Consider the following 11,237-nt stretch of genomic DNA (forward strand, 5'->3'; position numbering starts at 1 on the left):
TGTTATTACTACCACTGTTGGAACCGTTATTGAGTGCTTCACCAGGCACTATGCTAACAATCCCATTTAATCCTCACAACCTCCATAGGAGATGGTTACCATTATTACCTCTATTGTGTAGATGAAAAACATGCGGTATTAAAGGTTAAGTGCTTGCCTAAGATCACTTAGAGCTGGGATTTCAACACCCCGGTATATCTGATTCTCTAAGCCCATTCTTTTGCTGAGGGTAGGGGCACAGACAAGAAGGAGGAAATTAATCTTTTATTGACTTTTTGAAAGGATGATATGTTTGCATAGTCCAAAACTTAGAAAGTACAAAAGGGAAATATCTCCCCCCCAACACTGTTCCTCTCTCCTGAGTATTTTATGAATCCTTACAAACATGTTTTATGTATATTACCATAATACACACACACACACACACACACACATATACGTGCTCCCTCTCTCCACACAAATAATAACATACTCAAGATACTCTTCTGTACCTTTATGGTACAAGTACTCTAACCACCACTTAGTACTTGGTCAAGGCCATGGCTAAGTATGGGCAGGGCGGGCACTTGGCCTCTGAGCTCTATGTCCAGTGCTCACTCCCCACAGTGTCCCCCGTGTCCCCCAACTCACCCACAGCAGCTGACTCAGCCCCAGTTTGCCTCTAACAACCACACACAAAAGCAGCAAGAAATGGCCATGCTGCCTTCTGGGCAGGACACTCCATCCTACAGAAAGGACCTTTAGGCTCACTCCTCTATCTGCAAAGGTGGGGTCCCAGGGGATGGGGCAGGTGGTTGGACTCACCCTGTCCGCCTTCTTCTTCTGTGTAGTGACAGCAGAGAGAGCCCGCTCTAACTCTCCTGCAAACTTCCATGAATCATGCAGGCAGCTGACCAGATCCCTGGACTCTCCTGGAATGACAGACATTCAGATGCGGCCCAAAGGACTCCCCCTAAAGGCCTATCAAAGTGCCAGGCTGAAGGATGATGGGGTGCCAGATTCCCACCTTCCAACTGCCTGGCAGCATGCTGGCTGTAATAGAGTGCTGTCTGAAGCTCAGTTTTCTGACATGTAAGGATTCGTATGGTATGAACCTGGGCCTTTGGGAGAAAAGACAAGCAAGTGCTGAAAGAGAAGCAAAGAAACATTCTCCAGAGGACAGGAGGGAACTTCACACCCTCCACTCACCTCTAGCTCCCTCCTTAGGGCTTCCTGATGTTGGTGGCTTGCCTTCTTTTCCTATAGAAAGAGGAAGACAGAGCTCTTACTAGGGGGAGGCAGAGATGGCACAGCAAGAGACATGCCCCCAGAATGGCACCACTGCCCCAGGACAGGCCCACCCATGGGACAAGGTTATCAGGGACCCTGTGGGGATGGGGTGGAATCTGGGGGGTGAGCCTTCTTCCTCAGCCTGGGAGTGGATGAGACAAGACTGGGGCCTCTACATCTGAGTGCCCCCCAAACCCAGCAGTCATGTCATGAGCAAACAGAAATCACGTTACTTCTTCCAGCTGAGCTCGGTTCTGTTGTTTCTATGGGGAGAGTCAAAGGAATGCGACTGAGGGTGGCTCCCTTGACTCTATTCCCCAGGCCAGGAAGCCATAGGCAGGGGCCAGGAATGGATTTTAAAGGCAAAGTTCTCAGACCCAATGGGAACATGAACTGGTAAACTCTCCTCAACTCCCAAAGAAAAAGGATTTGGGTCTTTGTTGGTTTTTGCCCACAGCCACAGAACTGAAAGTCTGAAACTAGATTCTCTCAAAAAGACAGTAACATAAACCTTCAGAGATAGAGTGTGAGAAAAGCCCACCCTTCTGCCAGCTTGTGATTTAGAAAGATGCATTCACTCAACAAACATTGACTGAGCACATACTGGCCAGGGACTGTTCTTCACAGGAAGGATATAGGACGGAAAAGGCAGACAGGAGCCCTTGGCCCCAGGGTTTCCATTCTAGTCAGCCTTTAACTCTCAGACTCTCAGAGCTAACAGAAACCTCTGATACTCTCTAACTCTACCTCAGGAAACGCAAGCCCAAGAAGGATAGTTTACAGCAGGGCCTGGACTAGGGATTAACATAAAAACAACAATGACAAATCTCATTTAAACTTCACAAATGTAAGGAAAACAATACCACTCCTATTTTACAGATGTGAAAAGAGAGGCCCAAAGAGCTCAAGCAATTTGCCCTAAATCATATCCCTAGCAGATGGAGAGGCAGGATTCAAACCCAGAATTCTTAACCGGTACCTGGCAGTTCTTCCACAATCTTAACAATTACCCTCCACCACCCCTTGGGCCCTCTGTCTCCAGGAGCCTGGCCAGCCAAGACTCACATCCTCAGGTGAGTGGCAACCACCAGAAGTGGTTGTCTCAGGGTTAGTGCCATTATTTATTTTCTTCTTTTTGGTGTCGGTTGCTCCTGTACCAACACTAGGGCTGGTCTGGGGAGGAGAGTCTCTCAACTGTGGAAAGGAAGAGCAGTGATACTCATGAGAGCTACAAGCTCCTACAGTCACATCCTGCTTTACAGTTTATACAAAATACTATTATAGACCATCTGATTTAATGCCACCAAGAACTGTAGGAAGTGTTGTCACAATCACTTAGTGACTGAGAGGGATTGATACCATGGCTGAAAAAAAGGCAATAATGGAACTTAAACTCAGTCTTCTGACTCCGAGCTCCAGGATTTTGCCACAAATCAGCAGCTGCCAGGGACCAAAACCAGAGGCAGAGGTAGAAAAGCAAATATTAAGTAGGCAGAAACTGTATACTGTGTGGTTTAGAGCCATACACCCTCACACATCTGTTAGTGTTAAGAAGTGCACCAGTACCTCTCAAACTTTTACATCAATGTATCCTCATGGCAGAAGGCAGCCTTTCTGTTAAATCTGGGAATTTAACAGAAAGAGGATAACCCAAGCCTCATTTCAGAGAGAAGTCTTGTATACTCATAAATCTATGTGACTGTCATGCCTAAGTACATTAATGTTTTGTCTCTCAATAGAATCAAGGGAAACTGATGCTTCAGAAAGATGCCCCATATTTATCCTGTGGCACTCAAATTACCCCAGGTTGAGATGAGATGAGCTTAAATCCCTGCCTCTTGAGGGAAATCAGCCCAGTTTCAGGACGTGCAGTTCACAAAACTGCCCCATCTTCCCTTTATTTTTTCTTTTTATTTTATTTATTTATGTATTTATTTTGAGATGGAGTCTCGCTCTGTTGCCCAGGCTGGAGTGCAGTGGCGCATCTCAGCTCACTGCAACCTCCATCTTCTGAGTTCAAGCGATTCCCCTGCTTCAGCCTCCTGAGTAGCTGGGACTACAGGCATGCACCACCATGCCCAGCTAATTTTTGTATTTTTAGTAGAGAGGGAGTTTTACCATCTTGGACAGGCTGGTCTCGAACTCCTGACCTCAAGTGATCCATCTGCCTTGGCCTCCCAAAGTGCTGGGATTACAGGCATGAGCCACTGTGCCTAGCCTGTCATATTATTTTTAAAAATTTCAGTGACATTTCAATTAAGTTAAATTTAATTCTTACTGACCTGATCTCTTATCTTCTGTTTAATGATATATTAACAGATTACAGTTAATATATTACAGTTAATAATAATATACAGTTAATATACAGTTATATATACAGTTAATATATATTATTAACTGTATAACATACAGTTAATATATATTATTAACTGTATAATATACAGTTAATAATAATTACAGTTAATATATTACAGTTAATAATAATAACTGTAATAACTGATTACAGTTGAAAGGTGTTTCCCCTGTAATCACAAGTGCTAAAGGAAATATAACATGTATTCATTAGATAGATATCCACTAAACCACTGATTCTCGCATTGTAGTCCTTAGACCCTCAGCATCAGCAACACGTGGGAACCTGTTAGACATGCAAATTCCTGGACCAGCCCCACACTTCCTGAATCAGAAAGTGGGGAAGAGGGACAGCTATCTGTGCTTTAATAAGCCTTGAGATGCTCCCTGAAGTTTGAAAACTACAGAACTAGAATACATATGGTAGTAAGTGCTCATACTTTATCCAAGGTACCAGGGACTCTTCCCCTCTTTTCCATTCTCTTTTCTGTTGAAATAAAATGAAAACTTATTTTGACTTAATGGGTATAAAAAAGAAGGCAATGAGATGACCAGGGTTTCAAGTTAAGAGTTCAAAATTTAATCAGTGGACAGTGACAGGATGCAAGTCTTCTAAACAGATTACTGCAAGGAAGCTGATTATAATCTATACAGTAGGTATCATTAGTGTACTGATGTTAAATGTTTTGGGTGGATTAATGGTATTGTGATTATATAGGAGAATATCCTGGTTCTTAGGAGATATCTGCAAAAGTACTTAACAGTGAAATGCTATGATACTGGCAACTTACTTTGAAATGATTCAGGGGGAAAAAGGGCAAATATACAATCTTCCATATGGGGAAAAGAGAACACAAATATGACAAAATGTGAACTAGTGAATCCAGTTGAATAGAATACAGATGTTCACTGTATGATTTTATCAACTTTTCTGTGTTTGCAAGTTTTTAAAATAAAAAGTTAAGGGAAAAGAAACATCGCCCCAAATCTTTCTATGAAATGGAACCACAGAAAAAGCATAGAAGTGAACTCTTTGCAGAAGAGGGCACTGTACCCATCCAGACAGCATGGTTAAAGTGCAGGGTCTCCTCCAGGAAGCTATTCTCTGGTCTCTTCTGTGCTGTCACTTCCCCCCGACGCTGCCAAGGCTTTTTTCTAATAACTCTTTTTCTAAAGATGTAATTTTTTTCATTCATCTAAGAAAGAGACAAAAAAATTAGTATACATTTAGAAAATAAAATTATACTTGTGTAAAAACAAAAAATACTTTGAAAAGTGGGGAAGCAAAAAATGTACTGTTCTATAATTCTGTTCTGTTCTTACCATCTTTTTATTCTGCCAATGACCTCCTATTCCTGCTGCCTATGGTGAGGTGAGCTGCAAATAATTTCTTATCCTCATTTATTTAAAATTTCATGTTTATAATATACTAAACTCCCTCAGAAGCATTTGGGTTTATTTCTGGGCTCTATTCTATTCAAGTGATCTATCTGTTCACAAGCCACTATCAATTTTGATTATTAGAGCATCCTAAAGTTAAGTAATTCTTTTTTTTTTTTTTTTTTTAGATGGAGTCTCTCACTCTGTTGGCCAGGCTGGAGTGCAGTGGCATGATCTCAGCTCACTGCAAGCTCCTCCTCCCGGGTTCAAGCCATTCTCCTGCCTCAGCCTCTGGAGTAGCTGGGACTACAGGCACCCGCCACCACGCCTGGCTAATTTTTTGTATTTTTAGTAGAGATGGGGTTTCATCATGTTAGCCAGGATGGTCTTGATCTCCTGACCTCGTGATCCACCCACCTTGGCCTCCCAAAGTGCTGAGATTACAGGCGTGAGCCACCACACCTGGCCAAGTAATTCTTTGATTAGGATATTAGTATTTGATGGAGTCTGACCCTTTTGACTTTAAACTCAAATTCTTATTATCTCTAACTTCTAAAAGACAACAATTATGACTTCAGTGTATAAAATGCCAGCTTTTTCAGCTAACTTACAGAATTCTCTTATTTTCCTAATATTGATTCAGTTTATCCTTTCGGTTTTCTCTCCAAACACTAATGTTTTCATTTTAGTATCCCTAATCTTTTTTTTTTTTTTTTTTTTTTTGAGACAGAGTCTCGCTCTGTTGCCCAGGCTGGAGTACAGCTGCACTATCTCAGCTCATTGCAACCTCCATCTCCCAGGCTCAAGCAGTCCTCTCACTTCAGACTCCCAAGTAGCTGGGACACAGGCACATGTAACGCGCCCAGCTAATTTTGTATTTTTTTGCAGAGATGAGGTCTCACCATGTTGCCTGGGCTGGTCTCAAACTCCTGAGCTCAAGTGCTGAGAGCTCCTGAGCTCCCAAAGTGCTGGGATTACAGGTGTGAACCACTGCTCCTGGAAGTTTTCCTAATCTCTTATCTTTTGTAGTTGCACTGGCTTATGTGGCTATTAACTGTTAGTGTTAATTAACAGGGGTAACTGTAATACTGGACATTTTGTCTTATTCCTGATCTTAAAGGGATGTTTGTAGAATTTCACCCATCATGCATGATGGCAGCTTTTGGCTAGATGTATTTATAACCCACTAGGAGTTAAAAAAAAATCAGAAATAAATATTGAATTTTATCAAATGTCTTTCTAACATATATGGAGGGAACCGTGTATTTTCTCCTTAACGTCTTGCAACCAGGAATCATATCAGATCTTCTAATAGTGATTCAAAAGGATAAGGTTCATGTGGTTGTGTGGCATAATTTTCCCACTGTGCTATGTTTGCATCACTAGTCATGAATGAGAGAGTGTGTGTGTTTTAACGCCACCTTTGTCAGGTTTGGGTTTTCATGTTCTAACAGTTTGAAAAGAAAAAAGTTTGAAAGTTCTATTTTATTCTTTATCTGTGGAAATTGCAATAAATTATTTGTGATTTACTGAAAATTTCACTTGAAGGTCTGATATAATTTCAAAGCAAAACCAAACCTTTCTTTCTTTTTTGTGGGGGAAGGGTGGGAGGAGTGGGATGGGAGGACACTAACTCATTGATACTTTATGGTTTTTTTCCCCCTTTAGAATTTATTTTCTTGGGACAATCTGACAACGATGAATTTAATTTAGATTCGCAGATTTTAAAAATAATTCTTTTGATATTCTTGGTATAGTTTATTTGCCTGTTCTCCAGCTCTGTTGCCCAGGCTGGAGTGCCTAGTCCAATCATAGCTCACTGCAGCCTTGAACTGCTGGACTCAAGTGATCATCCCCGATAAGCCTCTCGAGTAGCAGAGACTATAGGCTCATGCTACCACACCCAGCTAATTTTTTAAATTTGTAGTGGAGACGGGGTTTCACCGTGTTGTCCATGCTGGTCTTGAACACTTGGGCTCAAGCAATCCTCCCTCCTCAGTCTCCCAAAGTGCTGGGATTACAAGTGTGAGCTACTGTGCCTGGCACTATTCTCATTTTTATTATAATAAAATTTTGGGATTGGATAAATAATATAGCCAAATTATTGGAGCCAGACTATATCTACTAAAATTAATGAGATTTCACTTGTCTGAAATCATGACATACTTTGGGAAGATATGTTTGTCCTGGTATTAATTAAAATTACAGCTATTTGACATTCACCAAAATCTGTGGAGCACCTTAAAGACATAGGCGGTATCCTCTAGAGCAGTCAAAACAGTTACAAGAAGAGGCTCTCAGGACAGCTTTGTCAGGAGAGACAGGCTATACATATAAAGACACAAGGGAGAGAGAAAAGAAACAACTATTTTACACGCAGGCCCCAAATTGAAAGCTATAGGCTGGGTAACGCAGGCACTGATTTCTGCAAATCAGATGCTTTCCATATGGCATCTCTATAAGATGTGCTTTTGCTTTAGAGAGTAGCAGCAAGATCTTCAGTTTTCTGTTTGTTTGTTTGTTTGTTTGTTTGAAGACAGGATCTTGCTCCACCACCCAGGCTGGAAAGCAGTGATGTGATCATAGCTCACTGCAGCATCAACCTCCTGGGCTCAAGTGATCCTCCCGCCTCAGCCACCTGAGTCGCTGGATTACAGGCATACACCACCATGCCCCACTAATTTTTTTATTTTTTGTAGAGACAGGGCCTCACTATGTTGCCCAGGCTGGTCTTGAACTCCTGAGCTCAAGTGATCCTCCCGCTTCAGACTACCAAAGTGCTAGGATTACAGGCATCAACCACCACACCTGGCCAAGATATTTGTTTTCAAAGGATGGTTAATAGTTACAACAAGAAAAATAGGGAAGGCTAGGGCACAGTGGCTCACGCCTGTAATCTCAGCACTTTGGGAGGCCAAGGCAGGAGGATCACCTGAGGTCAGGAGTTCGAGATCAGCCTGGCCAACACGGTGAAACCCCATGTCTTCTAAAAATACAAAAATTGGCCAGGCATGGTGGAATGCACCTTTAATCTCAGCTACTCAGGAGGCTGAGGCAGAATCACTTGAACCCGGGAGGTGGAGGCTGCAGTGAGCCGAGATCACGCCATTGCACTCCAGCCTGGGTGACAGAGCAAGACTCCATCTCAAAAAAAAAAGAAAGAAAATAGGGAAGATTTGTTAGTAGTCTGTGAGTTCCACAATCATGCGAAGCATATTAAAAATTCCTTAAATTCCTAATTACCTTTTCCTGTCTTTTTTCAAAAGAAGATTAACTTCATCAGAATTTTTCTTTACATTTAAAACACCTGCATCTTCAGTTGCCTCATCATCCGGCAAAGCAAAAGTCACTCTTTTCAAGCTTTCTTTACATTGTTTACTGTCTTCTCTTTCTTCCAGGTGATCACCTTCATCCCTACACTACCAAAACTCTTATAAAAAGAAATATATTGTTTTCCATTAGAAAAACAAAAGGAAACATATTTTCCCTTAACAAAGTTCCTCTTTTATATGCCTAATGCAACCAGATACTTAGAACTTCCAAAATCATTCAGGTATTAAGGAAGAGAAGCTATCATTTAAGTGAAATGCTATGTAAGAAACAAAAAGGGTCCAATATATAGAAAATAAATTATTCATCAATCTATAATACAAACCTCTTATCTCACAAAAATAACAGGATTTTGGGGGCACAAAACCAAATCAAAGTTCCTGGTAAGAAAGGTTTGATTGCTACTGTCAGTAATATTTTTCTTCATTAAATGATCTCTAATGTCCGTTTAAATCCAGTGACTTTCCTCTGGCTATCTTGAGAAGATCTGATAGGAGAGTATCTAACTTCTTAAAACAAACATATGTGAAAACCACAAATACAAACACTGATTGGGCAATTCCAGCTCACAAAGTAAAGGATGTTTCAAAATACTCACATTTCAGAAATGCTTCCTTCTTCTGCTTCTTCTTCAGCAATTTCATCATCTTGTTTGAACCCAGCTCATCATCATGATCACTTGCTATGTCTTCATCACTTTCAACTGGATCAAAAAAATCTTTGTTGTTCACATTTCTGGAACTTTTACCTGACTAAAATAAAAAGATTTTTAAAACTATTAATTAGGAATAGAAAAATACATCATTAACACATGCATATATATATACTGTATGTCTATATTACTTTCTAACTTAACACTACAAGTCAAAAATAGTTACTAGGTGAAATTGGCAACTAAAAACACTACCATAAAACTATTATAAGAACAACTGGAACATAAACTGAATGGAAGTACAGATTCATTTATAACTGATAAAACAAAGCATAATATATCTTAGCTCTAAACCTTCTAACTACAATTACATCTCTCCTAGAAAAACAGAACAAAAGCTAATTTGAGGAGGAGGAAAGTGCTCTCTCCTTTCTCAAACTTAACCTTAAGTTTTTTACTTCCAAACAGTCCCCTTTTATCTTCATCAGAATCAATATCTTCAAAAAAAAATCAGTATCTTCCACCTCATCATCATTATCATCTTTTCGTTCCTCTTCTTTTTCTCTGTTTTCTAAATAAGCCTCCATTTCAGAGAGTTGGAAGAATTTCTCGTCTATTATGGACTTTTCTCTTGGTTTTCCATGTCCTGTGTTTTGCACCTTGCTCTGCTGTTCCAATTTGCTGATATCAAAGTCAAGGTCAGAATCCTCATCACTGAAAACTGGGCTTTTCCTCAGCTCAAATTTGCTTGAGTTTCTAGCTTTCTTGCCCACTTCAGGATTGTCACCACCCATATCTGACACTTCCTCTTCCTCCTGTAAATCTTCTAGGTCCTCCTGGCCACCAGTCTCTGTCTCTGAACCATCCTCTTCACACTCCTGTTCTTCACTCTCTGGGAGAAGACTGATGTCTTCATCTTTGTTTCACTAACTGCATTTTGGAAGCATTGTAAAATTGGTTCATTTTGCAATTCCAGTTGTTGCAAAGTCTGCTCATCATCAAAACTTTCTATCACAAGTTTTTGTAAAGGGCTTCCACAGATCCTTCCATTCTCTAATATTTTATTAAAGTCATAAACCACTTTTGTTAAAGAAGTGAACTTTGATGACAATCCATCTTGAATCCTATTGGGAGGAATTAAATGAGATTTAGAATTATAGGTAATAATTTCACAGCTCTCTTAATTAAAAGAAAAATAAAAACCCCAACTCTTCTGTAAAATCAAATTTGAATGAAGTGTAAGTATAGATTCTGGCCCCAACAACATACAAGCTGATGAGCCACAGTGATATATAAAACCTGTCAATCAAGTATTTGTGAATCAGCTGTATAGATTTTAGGCAGGAAAAGCATTACAAATCTGTTTGCTTGGAGATACATAGTGAATTAGCCTTAAATTATCAACTCTGCTATATTATACACCACTCCATTCATTCATTCCCTTATTCCTTCAGTGATCAACATTTGCTTTGGCTACAGTGGTCAAGGAAAACCTCTTTTGGATGTGACATCTCAGATGAAACCTACAGATAAGGATAGTCTTATAAAGATTGGGAAACATGTATTCCAGGCAGAAGAAACAGCAAGAACAAATTCTCTAAGATGCAATTGAGCTTGGTAGGCCTGAGGAATAAAAAAGTGAGCACAGCTAGAGTGTGAAGGAGGCAGAAGGTGAAATTGGAGAAACTGATGGGAGCCAAATTCTACAGGGCTCAAGGGTAAGAGTTTGCCATTTTAAGTGTAATAAGAAAACATGAGAAGATTTTAAGCAGAAGGATGAAATGATGATTTACAAGAAGGAAGAAGAAAGGGAGGAAGGAGGAGGAGGAAAGTAGAGTGATTAGAAGGTTGATGCAGCATTCCAGGCAAAGGATGATGGTGATTTAAGCTGGAGTTAGAGCAGTGAATATGCTGAGTACAGTCTGGAGGTAGAACTGACAGGATTGCTAAGGAATTAGATACAGAATAGAGAAAAATGAAGACATCAAAATAGCAGCCTAGTTTTATGTGTGAGCAACAGGAAAGACAGAACTGCCATTTACTGTGACAGGCAAGGCTTGAGTGCTGGAGCATGGGGAAAGGACTTCAGCGGATGGCAGAGTATAGGTGGGTAGAACAACATTCTACTCTATTTTGGACACAGTGAATTTGCGATGCTGAGAGTACCAAAATTTTAAAAATTGTTAAAAGCCGTACAGTGCGGATATCCCAGTTGTGTGCTACTGAATTCCAACTAAGCTCAGTCTGTAGTCGC

The 11,237-nt window shown here is 40.4% G+C and overlaps 2 pseudogenes across 1 annotated transcript; both read right to left on the reverse strand.

Moving 5' to 3' along the window:
• Nucleotides 1-674: 674 nt before the first annotated feature.
• Nucleotides 675-2,723, reverse strand: LOC101929000 (golgin subfamily A member 6-like protein 1; annotated as a pseudogene).
• A 1,455-nt stretch (nucleotides 2,724-4,178) lies between these two features.
• MPHOSPH10P1 (MPHOSPH10 pseudogene 1) lies at nucleotides 4,179-9,781 on the reverse strand (annotated as a pseudogene). The gene is made up of 3 exons (NR_171055.1): nucleotides 9,508-9,781; nucleotides 8,930-9,083; nucleotides 4,179-4,817 (listed from the first exon to the last, which is right to left on the reverse strand). The product of NR_171055.1 is annotated as an MPHOSPH10 pseudogene 1 (transcript).
• Between the last annotated feature and the right edge of the window lie 1,456 nt (nucleotides 9,782-11,237).

The sequence above is a fragment of the Homo sapiens genome, chromosome 16 (assembly GCF_000001405.40).
Source record: "Homo sapiens chromosome 16, GRCh38.p14 Primary Assembly".
NCBI lineage: Eukaryota > Metazoa > Chordata > Mammalia > Primates > Hominidae > Homo > Homo sapiens.